Source organism: Homo sapiens, chromosome 20, assembly GCF_000001405.40.
Source record: "Homo sapiens chromosome 20, GRCh38.p14 Primary Assembly".
In the NCBI taxonomy this organism is placed as follows: Eukaryota; Metazoa; Chordata; class Mammalia; order Primates; family Hominidae; genus Homo; species Homo sapiens.
The window spans coordinates 24,575,105-24,593,909 of NC_000020.11; the positions used below are offsets into that span (position 1 = coordinate 24,575,105).

The following is an 18,805-nucleotide window of genomic DNA, read 5'->3' on the forward strand; positions in this document are numbered from 1 at the left end:
TGCAGCCTTACAAGGGCTTTCTTCCCAAAGTTTGCCTTCCAGGACCCCATCCCTGCCTCAAAGAGCTGAACGTTTTTGAAAGGGAGTTCAAGTCTCCCACTAATCATGTCTATTGATGATGGGAATTGAGTCTTCATGGGGATGTGCTAGGAGCTAAGACCTAAAGCACCCATCCCAAAGGAAGAAAACAAAATTTAAAGAAATAGGACGGAGGTGATCCATTAAGGCAGGTCTGGTCAGCTTCAACCGTTCTGCCCATACACACTGAACGTTCATTTATTCCCAGAGAGTCTGTTTGCAAATAATCTTCTTCAGATATTTGCAAGCATCTACTCTGGCCCCAGAATCAAACTGGGAGCTTCCAAAAGAGAAAAGCTCAGTCCTGACCTCCAAGGGCTGGAGCGTGGTGTGCACCTCATTTACAGCAGTCAAGCCCCAAACGCTCACAATGGGAACTTCATCTCATTTGTTCTAGGACGTGCAAGGCATTTGTGTTTTATTTAATTTATCTTGCGAGGTTAATATATTTTTCTGTACAGAAAAGTTTCATATTTTATGCACCTAACTGGATTATTTTCTTCTAAAAATACCTCCCTCCTCAAAGAATATAAAATGATTTAGGAATATTGGACTAGATACTACTAGGAGGAAAAATCTGTTTACTTCTGAATGATGCATTGACTCGCTCATTTTTGAGCATTATACATTAATTTATTTATTTTAGCTGAGATCCATTTGTTTTAGAAAAGATTGCCTGGGAAGCCAATACACAAAACAGGAAAAGCCTGAGCTGTTTGGGCCTGGGCAGGTTCAGGGACTCTGAGACATCCACCCCACACCCCCCACCACCACTTGCCCCTTCATGGAGGCCCCAGGCCCTGAAGAGCACAGTGAGAAACCACTGCATCGGTGACAGCACGAAAGTCCCTCTCCTTCAGTGACACATGGCATCGCCACCCACATTGTCTTGTGCTCTGTGACGTCCCTCAAAAACCAAATGGAGACCAAATGGTTAGACCAGGCCCACCACTGATGGCAGAGGGCATGTTTTCCCCATTTTCAGGGGCACAAAGGTACATATATCCTTGTGACTACAGCAAAATCTAATATGTTGCAATTAGAAATACTTATTTACTAGAAAATCTGGTGTTTTTGTTGGTTGAATTATCTGGGTAATGGAGAGCTGATTAACAAAGAATAACTGAATTCTCAGATTTTAGGAATTAGAATAAAGAGTGAAATACAGTTGACATTTTAACGACATTGCCCACGATTTCATTTTCTTATGATGGTTCCGAGCTCTAGTTTGTGGCTGATGATTGTTGAGCGTTTCTGCTGTACCTGCTTTGGGCTGTTGCGATGTGTGATGGAAGACAGTTGATCGGGGGGCACGTGCCCCTGGCATCACATACCTGGAAGGGGCTGGGTCAAGGCGGGGCTCTGAGATCTGCTTTGCCCCTTGTCATGGTTGACTCCTGAGTTGTGAACTCACAGATCGCATCTGAGCACTTGGCGCTGACGGGAAGGGAGTCACAGACATGAACTCTACCCATGTGCTAAATAGTAATGACCACCCCCGTCCCTGGACTCCCCAGCCCTGCCCCCAGGCTGGGCACTTGCTCCCCACCCTCAGCAGTGCCTCAGGCCCTGACGCCTCCATGGCCCCCTGTCTCCTCCTCCCCATCCCATCTCTCAGCAATCCAGCATGGACGTCCGTAAGGATTCCTAAATCCTCACTTCTGTTGAGAAAGCCATGGATCTCTTCCCATCCCCTTCCTCAGTTCTCTACCTGACCCATCCAAATGTAACAACCTGCTCAGCAGACAAGCTTTTTAAAAGGCAGTTTTAAAGTGGAGGGGTTTTGTCAGTTTGTTGTTGCTTGTTTCACACCAGTATGTGAAATATCCTCTTTCTACAAAAAAAAAACTGCTACCTAGGAGGAAAAACTAAAAGTATGACAGCATATACCCAAGATGATTGGTCAGTAATTTAGGGCAATGTGTGTTCAAATATGAAAACAGGGTTTCCTAGGACTCTGCACTCTGGAACCCCCAGATCTCCATACAGCTGTGTATGTGTGAGCCCTGTGTGCATCACACATTGGGGGTTCTCAGGAGATGTCTGTGGTTTTTACGTGACCTGACTTCAAGTAAAGGAGAGAACAAGGGGCCTCGAGATGTTGAAGAAGCCTGGTGCAGAGAGGATGGTTTGACATGGGCAGAAGGGGTCGGGTCTTCTACAGCCAGGCAGCCCACGGAAAACCCCTGAGGGACCCAAGTGGACCCCTGGGGCTTGCCCCGATGGTGCAGGTGCTGGAGGATGGCCCCAGCACTGGCCCTGCAAGGTCTCCATGGCTCACATCTCAGACACGGGCCTCACCCACGTGGCTCATGAAGACTCATTCCCTTCTGTGGGAGTGGAAGCTCTTGCCTGGAGACCTCAAAGGCAGCTGGGTCCACTTCCACACACCTGTGATGTGGACAGAGGGTATCTCGCTCCAGGCTGTCTGCCAAGACCAGAGAACATGAGTGCACCTCCCGTAGATGCAGAGGGGCTTGAGCTGTGTCTTCTGCCTACAGCTTTCCCAGGTGCTGTCCTTGGTCCTGTCCTCAGTTGCCCTGGAGCCACCATAAATAAGACAGTCTTGAGCGTGGCCAAGTCATCATTCTCACCCAACGTTGAAACCCTTCTCTGGAGGCACATGTAAATGATGGTGAAGATGTATGCCCTGGAGAGCATAGGAAGGCATTTCAGAGGGTGAAGAGAGGATCAGAGGTCAGGCAGCAGGGCTGAATGCAGAGTATTCATGGGTAATGATAGGCCCAAAGGAAGGTGGAGCTGCTGGTTACTCCACTGTCCTCTGTGCAAATTGTAGGGGCTTCACCACTTTAGTTAGTGTTGTTCATATTGGCTTAGGCCACAGGCGAATCCCTCATTCATTCAGCAAATGTGCGTGGGTCCTACTATGTGCCAGGCACTGTTCTGGGCACTTAGGATACAGCTTTGGATAAAATGTGCAGATTTCTGCCCTCCTGGTGCTTAGAGGAAGGGAGTCGGGATGGGCATGATGGCTCACGCCTGTAATGCCAGCACTTTGGGAGACCTAGGCAGGTGGATCACTTGAGGTCAGGAGTTCGAGACCAGCCTGGCTAACATGGTGAAACCCCATCTCTACTAAAAATACAAAAATTAGCCGGGCATGATGGCACGTACCTGTAATCCCAGCTACTCCAGAGGCTGAGGCAGGAGAATTGCTTGAACCCGGGAGGCGGAGGTTGCAGCGAGCCCCAATCGCGCCACTGCACTCCAGCTGGGAGACAGTGCGAGACTCTGTATCAAAAAAAAAAAAAAGAAAGAAAGAAAAAGAAAAGAAAAAAAAAGGAAGAGAGTCAGAAAGTAGACAAATCGGTATCACGTGAATGCAGAGAAGCCCCTAGCAGGCTGGGGTTAGAGGGGCTGGGAAGGTGGTGGCAGCTTTGCAGCTATGTAGGGAAGGCTCTGATGAGAAGTGGCATTTGCGCAAAAGCCTCAAATGAAGTGGGCAAGCTAGGCACATGTGCATCCTGGCTTAGGGGACGGCAGGTGCACAGGCTCTGATGCAGGCAGGGCACACACGCATGTGGGAGGAGCAGCAGGGAGCTCCCTGCAGGTGGAAAACGCCAAGCCCAGAGTAAAGAGGGTCAGATCCCACGAGACTGCTGTGAGCGCAAGGTCAGAGATCACCAGATCCTCACTTTTGTGCCTTTCCACAGTGTCAGGCTTTTTATTGATGCTGCATTCTCCATCATAAAGGCCACGAGCTCCCTGGAGTTCCCAGGAGGTATTCTCCTTAGTGCTTCCCCTTGCCTCGAGAGTGAGAGTGGCCGGCACGCAGGCTTGAGCCGAGCCACCCGTCAGTCAGTATTGCAAACCGTACATCACAGTATATTTAATCAACATATAAATGTTATAGATTAAACATTCCACAACAAACTAAGTAACATTTAACATCAAGAGAAAAGGGATAGGAAAAGGGGTTCGTGTTCCAGTCCAGGGAGAGTGGCGAGAATGGAAAGAATACACTGGCCTGGCCCGGGTGCTCCGTCAGTGGTCAGTGTCTTGCAAGGAATAGTCTTTGCTGTGGGCGGAGCCTTCAATGGCAGATGCTGGGCCCTTATCACAAGTGATGGCAAGATGGTGTCTGTTAAAATGACTGTTTTCGAGCTGCTGAAGTCTTGCTCTTTTTATGGCTGCAGAGTCCTCTGGTGAGGACTAATAGTGGCAGAATGTGCTTGGTTAAATCCTTGTCTGGTTGGATGCAGCCTTTATTGATCAGGCAAAAAAACTCTGGTCTCTGTTTGAAAACTCTGTTGCCCTATGAAATATAAGATGGAGTCTTTCTAAGATGGAGTCACTTATGTCAAAGGTGCTCTATACAACGAACGGCACAGTCCAATAGGACCTTCTGAGGTGGTGGAAACGTTCTGCATCTGTGCTGTCCCACGTGACAGGCATGGGACACGTGTGGCTCCTGAGCATGTGGTGTCACTGAGGGACCAGTGTTGGTTGTGTGTACTTGTGAGCACTTTAAGCGGACACAGCTCCACGTTGGCCAGTGGCTGCCAGGCTCCTCAGTGCAGATGTGGCCATTGGGACCGCCACCCTTGGATGGTGCGTGAGATGCTCACCAGAGTCGGTGAGCACAGAGAAGTGAGCCATGGGTGGTGTTCAGCTTCCCACTCCTGAAACAGGTGCCTCACACTCTTGCTCACAAAGCTGCCATGAATGCTGAACATTGTGATGTGCAAACATTTGGTGTCATGCCCTGCGCTATGATTATTTTGTTAAAATATTCCCAGGAAGAAAACCCCGAGGGAACTGAGAGCCCTCTCTCTCTGTGGAGGTAAGGAAAACTGGGCTAGAACAGGCAGGCGATGCAGTAGAATGGGCGGCCCTGGAGGGCACCTGCCTTTCTCTGCCTTGGCTTTAGCTCAAAACTATGGGACCTCTGCATGAATTGCAGACTCCTTCGCAATGTTTTCAGTCCGCAGATGTACAGATTAAATGACTCATGAAGAGGATTCTTTAAGACAGCTGCAGTGCGTGATGAGTCTTTCTTGGTGTTGGGGATTGTGTGTATTTCTCTGCTTGGCTTGTTGGTATTTGTGTGGCCTCTCCTAGGCCAGCCTCGTCTCCTCTCCTTCCTCGCGAGTGGCATGATGCCCACAACCATTTATACTCCAGAACATTCCTGGCAGAAGAGGAACAAAGAAAAGAGCTGGGGTGTTTTTGTCTGCCCTGTAATTTGTCTGAGCTTTGTTTGTTTGTTTGTTTGTTTGATTTTTGAGACGGAGCCTCACTCTGTTGCCCCGGCTGGAGTGCAATGATGCAATCTTGGCTCACTGCAACCTCCACTCCCTGGGTTCAAGCAATCTTCTGCCTCAGCCTCCCAAGTAGCTGAGACTACAGGCATGCACCACGAAGCTCAGCTATTTATATTTTTTTAGTAGAGACAGGGTTTCACCATGTTGCCCAGGCGGGTCTCGAACTCCTGACCTCAAGTGATCCTTCCACCTCAGCCTCCCAAAGTGCTGAGGTAACAGGTGTGAACAACCATGCCCACCCCTCAGTTTTTAAAATCTATTTCAATCAAAGTTGACAAATTATTTTGATGTCATCTAGCCTCAGCTTGGTAATTTACAGAGTGTGATTCCTTTATGCTTCTAAATTAAAATCTGCGAAGACTGGAGGAGTGCCCTGAAAGCTAAATCTTTGCTTCTTGGGGACTGTGTAATGCTAAAGCAATTTCTAAAGATGGAAGGCAATGCCTCCAAGTGCCTACGTGGTCCGGGTCAACGGTTCCCCAAGCGTTGACTAAGATCGGGAAAACCTCACTGTTGCCATGGGCCTCTCCGTCACCACCATGAGACAGACTTAGCAAGAAGCAGAGTCATCAGAGTCCTGGCAGGGAGAGGGGAGGAAGACACCTCATCTTCTCATGAGAAGCAATGGAGGCAAAGTGGGGTTTGTGTGCAGCCAAAGCAGCCATGTGCAAACCCAGCACGCAGCTCAGAGCCCTGGGTGCGCAGCTGGCATCGGGGATTCCAGACTCCAGCAGCCACTCACAGGATGGTTTGTGAGTGGACGTGTTTTAACCTCTTGGAGCCTCAGCTTTGTCCTTTGTAAAACATAAACGACAATGACAATGAAGATAGTAATAACACCATCTGTAAACTAAAAATAAAGAAACTAAAAGATAAATAAACAGACAGGCGGATTTTTTGTTTTTTTGCAAGGATACGTCGGGATCCATGGCTGCCGTGCTCCCTGAGGTCAAGGGCTGAGCTGCGCACTGGAGAAATGGCCATTCCCCAGCCTGGCTCTGCTGCTTTCAGGAGTCTTGGACATGGGTTGGTTTGTCAGAGATTGGACCTCCCGAGCATCTCCTGCAGAGATAGCCCCTTCTGAAGCTCAGCAGTTCCAAAACCAGCTCTCTGACACCCCCGAAGCCACATGTTTTCAGTGAGGGATGGAGAGTGGAGTCGACAGGGCCGTGTGTGATGAGGTGCAGCGGGGCAGATACCCAGATTCCATGGGGCAAGCCTTCCACACTGCACAGCCTCCATGTTACATGCCATTCATACTGCACATCCTCCCCACTGCATTTCCTCCATGTTGCATGTGCTCCATGTTGCACATCCTCCCCGCTGCATGTCCTCCCAACTGGACTTCCTCCCCACTGCACGTCCTCACCCCTGCACATCCTCCCTACTGCAGGTCCTCACCCCTGCAAGTCCTTCCAACTGCACAGCCTCCTCCCTTCACATCCTCTGCACTGTACGTCCTCCCACCTGCACATCCTCCCTGCTGCACGTCCTCCCCACTGCACATCCTCCCCTCTGCACAGTCTCCATATTGCATGTCCCACCCCCTGCATGTCCTCCCCCCGCACATCCTCTCCGCTGCATGGCCTCCCTCCTTCATGTCCTCCCCCCTGCATGGCCTTCCCACAGCATGTCCTCCCCCATGTACGTCCTCCCCCTTCACGTCCTCCCTGCTGCACTCCCTCCCCACTGCACTCCCTCCCGATTGCAAGTCCTCCCCGCTGCACATCCTGCCCCCTGCACTTCCTCCCCACTTTATATCCTCCCCACTGCACATCCTTCCCCCCTTCACATACTTCCCACTGCACGGTCTCCCCCCTTGACGTCCTCCCCATTGCACGCCCTCCCCTCTCATGCTGTCCCCACGGCACGGCCTCCCCCCTGCATGGCCTTCCCCTTGCATGGCCTCCCCCCATATGTCCTCCCTTCTGCATGTCCTCCCCGCTGCACATCCTTTACCCTGCACATCCTCACCCCTTCACATCCTTCCCCCTGCACGTGCTTCCCCCTGCATGTCCTCACCCCTGCACATCCTCCCCCCTGCATATCCTCCAAGTGGCACACCCTCCCCACTGCTTGTCCTTCCCACCGCACGTCCTTTTTGCAGATTCCAGACTCCAGCACCTGAGGCTGGGAAGTGAGCATCTCCACCTGGACAGGCTGGGGCCTCACAACTCCCCCGTGAATTATGCATCCCTGTGGGCTGTTCCACTTTTTTTCCCCCTTAGCCATAATGATGGCAATTTTCATATCTCCTTACTGTTTGGAGACCATATGGGGGCCAATGTGCAGAATAAAGAGAAGAGAAATCTCACAAGCCTGGCTCCGTGGACAGAGGCTTCGCAGCCCCAGACACATGAAGCAGCCACCACAGCAGAGGCAGCGACTCCTTGACCTGTGCCCAGCAGGAGGGGCGAGGCCAGGAGCTGGCACTGTAGCCTGAGCAAGTTGCTTGCCCTGTTGGTGGAGTGGCACTTCAGGTCCCTGCCCTGCAGGCTTGTTGGGGGGCGAGTAAACAGTGAGCCCAAGTTCCACGAGAGGCCACCTGGGACGTCCTTATTGTTGGACTGATCCCATGAAAATATGCCGTACCAGGGAGCCTCAGGTCTCACTGCAGCCCTGCGGCTGGCTGCACAGTGATTAGAGGCTCTGATTGGCAGTTTTACTTGTGTTTAATTAACAAAAATGGGAAAGGGAGCCGTGGTCACCTGTGGGCCTTCCCAGCTTCTGCTAGTAAGGAGGAATGTCTGGGGGCACTCAGGCATCGGTGGCAAGCAGCGGGCTCGCAGCCACGCAAGTGCTGCACTCACGGGGTGGGCCCACCTGCACTTTTGTCTGGCTTCACAGGGTCTGTCTGGAAGCCTCCTGAAGAAATGGCCCTGACACTGCCATGCACTGCCAGTCATTCTCGAAGCGCTCCAGCTTGCGGCAGGAGGCCTCTGCTTAACAACCTTGGGCAGCTGGCAGAGAGCTAGGAAGCCAGGGCCTCCTCCAAGAGGAAGTGAGCGACTACTCTCCTAGAAAACAATATCTGGAATAAGATGGGCGCCATCTTTGTATAGGACAAATGCCTAGGCAGGGTGGCCCTGGCGTTTGGAAGAGTTGGTGTGAGGGCTCCGTATTTTGATGAGGAAAGAGCCCAGCCAGTGGAATGACAGACAGGAGGCACCCTCTGCACAAACACCAAGGCAGGGCCCAGCCATTCAGCCTCCTGGAGGAGTCACCTGCCCTTTGTGGGGAGGGTGGGGCAGTGGTTCTCTTTGCTAGGTCAGCATTGGAATCATCTGAGCTGCTTTTCAAAAATTACTATGGAATCGCAAACCACATACCCCATGTTCTCACTTGTAAGTGGGAGCTGAATGATGAGGACCCATGGACGCAAAGAGAAGAACAGACACTGGGGCCTGCCAGAGGTTGGAGGGTGGAAGGAGGGAAAGGAGCAGAAAGCATAACTGCTGCACACTAGGCTTATACCTGGGTTATGAAATAATCTGTGCACCAAACCCCCATGGCATGAGTTTACCCATAAAACAAACCTGTACGTGCACCCCTGAACCTAAAAAAAACTTTTTAAAATATAAAATTAAAAAGTAAATTCCTGTGCCCAGCTTCACCCTGATTCCCTGCTCCCAGCACACCCCTTCTCCATCAGAACCCCCAGGAGAGTCTCACTCAGCCCCTGCCACCAGGCCACAGAGCAGAAGGGCACAGCTGAGGCTCACAGGGCCATCCTCTGCTCCTCAGGAAGCCACCCTCGTGCTCCAGGTGGAAATCAGGCCCCACCTGTGTCTTGACTCAGTTCAGAGTCAAGAGAAACTTAAAAGAGAGATTCAGGGGACAATGTCCTCCGTCGATCCACATCAGCCTTGCCTTGTCCTTGTCCGCTAGTGAGAAGTCTCGTAATACAAAGAAAAACGCGCCTGGACTATGCCTTCTGAGAGTCTCCAGTCCATCCTCAGAACACACCGACAGTGCATGGTGGCAACGGGGCCAGTTCTGCAGGTGGCTTCCAGGCAGGCAGTCCCTACAGGCAGTCCCTGCAAAGTCCCCAGTCCCATCCTTTGTCCCCACCATCCAGGCACTCACATCCCAGCGATCTTAGAAATACTGCTTTCTGTAGGATTTCTTCTGCAAACGAGTGACCCAAGAGCCCCGTACTTGGCATTATTATTTTCCTGCTCTTGGCAAGCATTTCCTTGGCCTGGCTGCCCTTCCTGGGAGGCTGTGTACTTGCAGCAATAACGATGACTCGAACAACGTCAGCAACTGCAGCTGCCTCCCGGGGAGGGCCTGCGCCAGCCAGGGGTCATCCCACATCCCTGGACACCCCAGGATGACTCCTTTATTAATCTTCTCTCCTGTCCTGTCCTGCTGGTTCTCTCTTGCAGAGCGACTACTCAAGCGACACAGAGAGTGAGGACAATTTCCTCATGATGCCCCCGCGGGACCACCTGGGCCTCAGTGTCTTCTCCATGCTCTGCTGCTTCTGGCCTCTGGGCATCGCAGCCTTCTACTTGTCCCATGAGGTAAGGCCTCCTTGGTCTGTCGCACGTGGTGTGCAGGTGTTCACAGGGTGGGGGTGGGGGCGGCAATCCCAGCCGAGGAGGAGAAGCAAGGAAGCCCAAACAGCTCCTGCTACAGCTGGGTCGGCACTTGCCCAGTTGGAGGATAGGCTGGGAGAAGTCGGGGCACCCTGGGGCCGGGAGGAGGCATTCCGGCTGCCTCACCCCAGATGCAGCTGTGTCCTCGCAGAGGTGGGACTGCGTTCCGAAGAGGCTTTGGAACTGAAGCCGGTGTCTGCTGGGTAGAAGGCACATGGCCTTTGGGAGGCTGTCTTTCATTTAGGTGCTGGTGTTGTGTGTGTGGGGTGACCCCAGTGCCGGGAAACACCATGCCCAGGTGGGCTACATTGAACTTAATGAGAGAGGAGAAAAGTAGGGTTCTGATTTCCTTGCTAAAGGCTCATTCCTGTAAAATAGATTCCAGTTCCACAGCAGCCCCCATGTACCTGCCCCAGGTAAACGCCCTGCTTGTGGAAATAGCACATCTCAGCATGACATCTGCCATTCCTCCCCAGCATAAGGCTTCTAAAGGTTTCGATTCCCAGCCTTTTTCACTACAGAGCATCCTGTTTGTTGCCCCTTATGCAACCTACATTTTGAAATATTTGGAAGGAATTTTCTCTAGCAAGTTCAGAGTACTCATTCAGAAATCAGCTATATTCACATTTTCATTAATCAGAGAAAGACATTTCTACTTGCCAATTACAGAGTGAGCTGATGGCATTACCATGGCCCACTGCTATCTGCCCAACCAAAACAGGGAGAAAGAGCACTCCTCTGCTGGCCCAGGGTCGGGGTGGTGCTGCGCACCCATGGGGTGTTCTCAGGGAGGGCTGAAGATGCCTCAAAGGTACAGAGGGTCCCTCTCCAGCTTCTAGGGTTCAGGACCAGGGCTGCACACAACTGAGCCTGGCAGGTCCTTCGTCTGAAACAGATTTCCTGGCTGAGCCCAGCAGTTGCTTCTTGATGGCTTCTGTATTGGTTGGGTTTGTTGGACGAGTGAGAGGAGAATCCGCCCTGCCTTTATGGGATTTCTGTTTTCCCCTGCACATCTTGAGTGGTGACTGGCCCCTCTTTCTGACATCCAAGGAGGAGCAGGGGAGAGTGGTGGGTGGTCTGTGGTCCTCCTGAGGGCAAGCGCTTCCTGACAGGGCACAAGAAGTTGGGAAGCTTTTGCAGGCAGGGGTGTAGCTGGAGGGGCACAGTGGGGAAATCTTGATCTGCCGGGGCTAGGCTGAGCAGTTTTTCCAGACCCAGCTTTGATCTTGAGCGTCTGTCGGAGCTTCTCTTGTGACTTCGTCCCACAAATGCCACAGAACCCCTTCTCCATCAGCACAAGCATGGGGTGGGAAGCCTGACTCCTGGGTCTGGCAGGGCCTGGTGGCTGTGGAGTGGATGCAGGCATGAGTGAACCCTGCTTCAGGATGAGGTCCCAGACTGGGACACACAGGAGCTGGAGAAATGGGTGTGGGCACAGGCCCATGGTGGGCAGAGCCTGCTGTGCCACATAAACTGCACCCTGATGCTGCCAATAGACAAGAGCAGTCTTGCAAGGGAAGGAGAGATTGGGCCCGGGAGCTGGACAGGTGACATCAAACGCACCCCCGAAGCCTCCCTTGTACACTCCAGCCCTGCGTCATCTCCATGTGGGGAAGGATAGGGACACACCCACCATCATGGGGCCCAGCCGCTGAGGCATCCCTGTAAAAGTGCCACAGAGTGCTGGGTGGATGGAAGCCCTGGATAGATGGCAAGGGGCCACAGGGAGAGGCTGCCTACGTGGCCAAAGGAGAGACCAGTCCTTTGTGGTGTCCGTGGTCTCTGCTGCTCCGTGTGTTCAGATTGAAGCCCCAGTCTCTGGTGCAGGGCAAGGTATGGACAGCGTCTCTATCCAAAAGATCACCATTATAATAATAAAGAGCAAGGCTACAACTGCAGAGACTGTGTCTAGAGTCTTTCTCAGAAAGTAATTTTATTCTGAACACAGTAAGAGCCTCTTAGGCTTGGGTCTGAGGACTCATGGTGTTTGATACATTAGATAGTGAAGAGGATTTCTATTACTTGTTTAGCTGCAAATGGGAAATGCACTTTCTATAGAGGCTTCTGACCACATTTTTTGGAGGTGAAGTGGAAACATTTTCGGGGGTGGGTGTAGGTGTTGCCTTCACTATGGGCGTAGAGAGGAGCTCTCAGGGCCGCTGGCTGCAGCCTCCCTTTTCAGTGTGCTTTGAGAATGTATTTCCCTGTGGTAAAACTACAACAGAGAAGAGGTGCTAACACTTTTATAAAGATACCTGTGGAGCTGAGTCCCCTTGGCAGGGCCTGTGTCTGCATCCGTCTCCAATCAGAACTCCCATCCCAGGCAGCTCCCCTCAGTCTGCAGTGGTGGTTCCGGGAGCTGCTGCAGATCCTGGAAACAAGCAGCCCTGCACAGGACGCCTCAGCCGGCTACCAGGCTGCTGAGCATTCTGTTTACAGCCCGCACCGCAGATGCGTGGTCTCCAGCAGGCCATCGTGGGGAAGCCGGCAGCTGCCAAGGAGAGAGTGTGGCACAGAATAGAACAGATGCAATCTGAGAATCCTTGCACTAAATTAAATCAGTGCTTTCCTAAGCGAGGCCAGCTGGGAGTGCGAAGCCCAGGACTGGAGAGGGGGAAGCCCGGAGCCCTCTCTGCCGCAGTGGCCAGCACATCCTGCTGCCTTGTTGGGTCAAGGGGATGATGCACCTGGGCAAAGAGCATGTTGGTGGAGCTGAGGCTCTCCAGGCCCTCAGTGCCATTCACAAGGAAATCTTTGACATCTAAGTGTGACTTTGGGTTTTTTTTCCCTTTTATCTCAGATCATATCACAGTGTACTCACTGACAGTCAGGCTGTGTCTGCTCATTGTCAAAATAACTGTTCAGTGAAGTCAAAGGAACATGCCAAGCCATTACAGAAAAACAAAACAACATCTTATGGTGGTCTGATTAAATTGGGCAGTGGAGAAAATGAGGGATGCCATCTCTAGAATTATGCACCTCCAGTATGTTGTTTTGTCCTGTTGTAGCCTGGTCCCATTTAGCAGGCAGCTCTCCCATGCCTCTGTTTCCTGACCCATACAGTGATGTTAAAATGATTTCCAGGGTGTGCGGTTAGCTGAGGGTTAGAGATGAAGGCCAGTGAAAGTTCCCAGGAGGCACCTGCAGAGCAGCTGCTGCTGGTCGTGCCCTGCTGGAAACCTGAGTTCTCCAGGTGCTGGGGGTCCAGAGGCCAAGGAACACCTGGAAAGACACAGACACACCTTTCCCAGCAGATTTTGCTAATTCTAAAAATATGTTCATGAAGTAGCATAACAGTAGTAATCAAAGTGTTAGTGAGGTGGGTAACATTGGCTGACCACCTACTGTGCGCCAGGTTCAGCGCTGGAGCCATGCACCCTTGCTTCCAGGATGTGGTCCTGGACCCCCTAGGCACTTGCTAGAAATGCACACTGTCTGGTCCACCACACACCTGCTCAGTCAGAGTCTCTGGGGCAAAGCCCAGGAATCTGCATTTTGAGGAGGCCTCCAGCTCCTCATGGATGCTGCTGCCATCACCCGGGAGGGGCCGTGGTGACCTGTGCTGCAGTCTCGGCTGGGAATCTAATAAGAAGTGGGAAGCTGCGGGATGTCTTTTGGAAGAAATGACCCCTGGGCTTTGGTTGTGGTGTGAAAGGAAGAGGGAAGGGAGGGATGCCCTGGGTTCTGATGTTGCTCGGTTGTGAATATTGCTGTCTTACATGCATTATCTCATAGGAACTCCATGACATGGGTGCTGAAATCAGGGTTCAGTGAGATTGAGAGATGTGCCTAAAGCCAACATTGGTGAGCAGTAGGCTGGAGCTAGCAGGATGTGCAGGTTCGGAAGCACCTGCCTTCTCTGGGGGAGGCATCTGGCTTGTCCCTGAGCTGTGGGGTGGGGGTGGGTGGGCAGATGAGGGCAGCATGTTGTCTACAACTTCATTTTGCCCAACAATGTTCCATCCAGCCCCCATTGCAAGCACGCTTTGTAAACCAGTTCATACAGAGGAGGATGTGGGTGTGTGCGATTAGGGTGGTGTGGCTTCATCTAGGAACTGACATTTGTGAATGATACTGAGGATAGACATGAATCCCATAATTGGCTGAGTGGCTGCTGTCAGCTAGTTAATGCACACACTTTATCTTATTTAATCTTTGCAGTGAGTCCAGAAGGTGGAAAATTATTATCTCCATTTTACAGATTAACAAAACTGAAGTTTCAAGGGATTTAATAAGTAACAGAAATCACAGAGGTAGCAAGTATGGGCACATGAGGGAAATATTAATATTTCTAACCCTTAAAGCCATATTTTCTGCAATGTAGCTTTGACTTTTATCTGTTTGCAAATGAAAATAGAACCACAGTCCTTGCTTCTAAATTCACCATCCCCCCACCCTGCTTGGAAAGGCTTGCAGGGGAGGAAAGCCTGTCTGAGCATGGTGTGGCATTGGTCTTCATGGCACTTCACTCCATCCCATGTGATGGGGGCAGCCGGGGACCAAAGCCAGATCCCTGCCCCCAAGGTGGGCATTGGGCCTGGACCTGCGCCGGGCAGGCCCGAGGGTTCCTGTGTTGACTGTGCTGGCAGATGTCTTTGCATCCAAGCATTTATTATGTCTTGATCTAATTTCATTTCATAAAATGTTTCTTTCCTTTACTAACTGCAACATTATAACAATAATTAAATGAGAAAAGGGTATTAGGAAGCAGATTATGAATTTTATGAATAGTACCAGCAAAGGGAATTGGGCAAACTAGGGGAAAAAAGAGAATCTTTTTATGGTACTGAAAATCTAGAAGAGTGCAACCTAGCTAATAGCAAAGCCCCTTGGAATCCATTCATTTACCCACTGATTAGTGAACACCTCCCACGTGTTCAGTAAGTGCCAGGCATGCAGCAGTGAACAGAGCAAACCAAATCCCGCTTGTCAGAGCTAACGTGCTCGTCGCCTGCCTCTCTTCCTTGCAATGTCAGCTTTACTTTTCTCCGTTTTACTCACTGGCTATTAGCTGCGGATGGACATGGGGAGCGTGGAACTGGGAGAAACGTTTTTAACAGGGTGGCCGTGGCGGGGCTCGCGGAGAGGATGGTGTCTTCTGATAAAGCCGCCAGTTGAGCCAGGGGGAGCCCTTGGGGAGGAGCTTCCAGACAGAGAGGCCTGCAGTGCCGAGGCCCTGGGGGGAGCACGTGGGGCAGGTGGGGCCGGCGCGGCGGGGCTGGGGGCCGCGGGTGTGGAGTGGGGAATGGGGGTAGGGGTAACTAACAAGGCGGGGCCAACAGGGGCAGACCCCGAGACTCTTTAGGCTGTGACCGAGCGGGGCTTCCACTTTGGGATAAGAAGCCTCGGGGGTTTGAGCGGAGGAGAAGCCCCTGTGGCCACATGCTCCCGGGAGCCTTCAGAGAACAGGGCGGAGGGGGAGGCGCAGGGCGACGACGGCAGTGGTCAAACGCAGAACCGTGGAGTCCTGTGCTGCAGGAGTGGCTGGGAATTTCATAAGCAGTGGGGAGCTGCGGGGTGTCTTCTGGGTGAATGACCCCTGGGCTTAGGTTGCAGTGTGAAAGGAAGAGGGAAGGGAGGGATGCCCTGGACCAGGGGTTTCCTGCAGCCGGATAGGCAGCACCTGCAGCGGGGCCTCTCAACTCCAGGAGCTGTCGGCCTCTGCGTGGAGGCACTGAACCATGGGGGCTCCAGGGAGACGTCTGGGCCGAGGGTAGGAGTGTAAGGCCTGAGCTGGGGATCAAGCACCGGCGCGGTGATGAGGGGCCCGTGGGAGCATTGACCGCTGATGAGCAGCTTCAGGCATGCAGGGAGGGACAGCACCGAGGAGCGGACTCCAGAGCAAGAGGAAGGGAACCATCCAGCGATGCAGAGCTGCACTGCTGGGACTTGGATCAGCAGGCACAGCAGAGGGGCGCGGAGGGACTTGTGGGTGCTGGGGACATTCTCTTTCCTGACCTGGGTACTGGCTGTATGCTTGTGGAAACTCATTGAGCTTTATTTACACCTTCGTGTGTGTGTGTGTGTGTGTGTGTGTGTGCACTTTTCTGTAAGAATACTATACTTCAATTAAAACATTTAGAAAATGCACGTATTTGGGAGGCCTAGGGAGAAGAACTGCTTGAAGCCAGCCTGTGCAACAGACCCCATGTATACAAAAATTTTAAAAAAAAAAATTAGCTGAGCGTGGTGGCTCATGCCTGTGGTCACAGCTAGTCATGAGGCTGAGGCAGGAAGATCACTTGAGCCCAGGAGTTCAAGGCTGCTGTGATCTATGATCCCACCACTGCACCCAGGCCTGAGTGACAGAATGGGACCTTGTCTTTAAATATACATATGGAAGTGCAAAGAGAGTAGCTGAACATAGTACATCTAGTTATCTTTTTTTTTTTGAAGAGTTTTGCTGTAAATGGAGAGTGAGAAATGGGATGCTATTTAATGAGGTCATGTCAAGAGTGTTCTTTTGTTTTTTGTTTTTGCTTTTAAGTGGGAGAAATGATAGCATACTTGTTCATAATGAAAATGACCCAAAAGAGAGAAAAATAGATGTTGTGAAATACAGTGGGAAGGAGAATGGGGGGACAGTTAGGGGAGCAATAAAAAGCCCCCAAGCACCTCGCACATAGTTGACATCACACACTTCTTGGGGCAGATGCAGATGAGGTATTAGGCTGCGAGAGTCATGTAGCTGTTCCCAGGTCATGCTTCCAAGGGTAGAGCCAGGATTCGGTGCCCCCACCATCAATGCCCACTTCTGGGTCAGTGGTCAGTGATTATGTCACTTAGTGACAGATTCCACCAAATACTGCCCAAGTGTTAGAGGAAATCATAGTCTTGCTTTTCACATTACAAATACCCACATAGGGAAGAACTATAGAAGTCTGATATCCTTGCCTCTTGTTTTCAGTTAAATAGCAGCCCTGCTTGCAGCTCCCAGGGATAAGTCTGTCCTTCTCTCTCTGACTCCATTAAAACTGGATCATATTTAATTATGGGAGAGAACCAAGCTATCTTGGGTAATGATATATACTAAAGGTATTTATTATTTCTCCTGAATTTAATGTTCTGTAGCAGAGTAGAAGTATAAGTCAAGTACAGGCTGTTCTTTCTCCTCTGAATAAGATGCTCTGCAAATTCTGCAAAGGTGGAGGGAACAATTTTGGGATTTGGGTGTGAAAACTTGTCACTCAAGTAAGCCTTGTAGGACATTAAGGGACACGACACCATCATTGTTCCAGCAGGAATTAAGTGCTTCCCTTCTCAATCTTACTCTGGATATTAATTCTAATTCTTTATGGCTGGTGTGTGGGATGCAATGTTTTCTATCCATTTCCCAGAAAGAGCCTAAACCTTCCTGTAACCACCGTCAAGACATTGCTCAGAGAGTGTGGGGACATGGGTTCCTCCCAGAGATCCAAACAATGCCAGCAGTTGGAATTTGCTTTCTTAGTTGTGTTCTTGAGCTGCCAGGCTGTTGATGAACTAATCAACAGGGCCATCATAATCAGACTTGGATGATTTGCCCCCACTTTCCAGGTTTTTAAAATTAATTATTTAATTTTTGAGACAGGGTATCACTCCATTGCCCAGGCTTGAGTGCAGCGGCACGATCATGGCTCACTGCATCCTCAGCCTCCTAAACTCAACCTATCCTCACACCTCAGCCTCCCAGGTAGCTGGGAATACAGGTGCCTGCCACCACACCCAGCTAATTTCAATATTTTGTAGAGATGGGGATCTCTCTTTGTTTTCCAGGCTGGTCTCAAACTCCTGGGCTCAAATGATTCTCCTGCTTCAGCCTTCCAAAGTGCTGGGATTACAGGTGTGAGCCACCCCTGTATGGCCCCCAGTTTTTTAATATGGAAAGAACAAGTTGATTTGCCCATGGAAAAAGTTGAGGTCAGTAAATCATCTGAAAGTAGGGAGAAATCAGGAAATCCTGAGGACTTCAGCTCAACGTCCACACTCTGGCCCACTGCTGCTGGAAAAACTCAGTTTGTCTTTCTTTAAAGTTAAAGGGTAGATGTACAGGTTTGTTATATAGGTCAATTGCATGTCATGGGAGTTTGATGTACAGCTTATTTCATCACCCAGGTAATAAGCATAGTACCTGATAGACATCCTCCCCTCCTCCTTCCTCAAGTCGGCCCCATTGTCTGTTGTTCCTTTTCTTTGTGTTCATGTGTTTTCAATGTTTAGGTTCCACTTGTAAGTCAGAACATGCAGTATTTGGTTTTCTGTTCCTATGTCAGTTCATTTAGGATTATGGCTTTCAGCTCCATCCATGTTGTTGCAAAGGACATGATCTCCTTTTGTTTGTAGCTATGTAGTATTCCATGGTGTACATGTACCACATTTTCTTTATCCAGTCTACCATTGATAGGCATTTAGTTGGTTCCATGCTATTGGGAATAGTGCTATGATGAACATATGCACGCATATGTCTTTATAGTAGAATGATTTATATTCCTTTGGGTGTATACCCAGTGATGGAATTGCTGAGTCAAATGGTAATTCTCTTTTAAGTTAGTTGAGAAATTGCCACACTGCTTTCTAAAATGGCTGAACTAATTTACACTTCCACCAGCAGTGTAAAAGCATTCCCTTTTCTCCACAACCTTGCTAGCATCTGTTATTTTTTGACATTTTAATAATAGCCATTTTGACTGTGTGAGAGTTTCTCATTGTGGTTTTGATTTGCATTTCTCTAATGATTAGTGATGTTGAGCATTTTTTCATATGGTTGTTGGCTGCATGTATGTCTTCTTTTGAAAAAAAATCCATCGTGTCCTTTGCCCACTTTTTAATGCAAGTGTTTCTTGCTTGTTAATTTGTTTAAGT

General features: G+C 50.5%; 1 protein-coding gene across 21 annotated transcripts in view, besides 3 other annotated features; it reads left to right on the top strand.

The window, feature by feature from the left end:
- Positions 1–18,805, top strand: part of SYNDIG1 (synapse differentiation inducing 1) — a 196,988-nt gene that overhangs the window by 105,476 nt on the left and 72,707 nt on the right. For all 21 annotated transcript variants that reach the window (NR_147606.2, NM_001323606.2, NM_024893.3 and 18 more), the window contains one exon: positions 9,752–9,889. Coding sequence is in view for 20 of the 21 variants with exons in the window: in NM_001323606.2 (NP_001310535.1) it covers positions 9,752–9,889 (138 nt within the window). In the remaining variant the exon portion in view is untranslated. The remainder of the gene's footprint in view (positions 1–9,751; positions 9,890–18,805) is intronic.
- Positions 9,873–10,373: an enhancer, noted in NCBI's record as "H3K4me1 hESC enhancer chr20:24565613-24566113 (GRCh37/hg19 assembly coordinates)". NCBI's record gives its function as "activates a minimal SCP1, AML or CMV promoter by ChIP-STARR-seq in primed H9 embryonic stem cells {active_cell/tissue: H9 hESC(primed)}" and the evidence as "EXISTENCE:reporter gene assay evidence [ECO:0000049][PMID:30033119]".
- Positions 14,558–15,148: an enhancer, noted in NCBI's record as "H3K4me1 hESC enhancer chr20:24570298-24570888 (GRCh37/hg19 assembly coordinates)". NCBI's record gives its function as "activates a minimal SCP1, AML or CMV promoter by ChIP-STARR-seq in naive H9 embryonic stem cells {active_cell/tissue: H9 hESC(naive)}" and the evidence as "EXISTENCE:reporter gene assay evidence [ECO:0000049][PMID:30033119]".
- Positions 15,149–15,740: an enhancer, noted in NCBI's record as "H3K27ac-H3K4me1 hESC enhancer chr20:24570889-24571480 (GRCh37/hg19 assembly coordinates)". NCBI's record gives its function as "activates a minimal SCP1, AML or CMV promoter by ChIP-STARR-seq in primed H9 embryonic stem cells {active_cell/tissue: H9 hESC(primed)}" and the evidence as "EXISTENCE:reporter gene assay evidence [ECO:0000049][PMID:30033119]".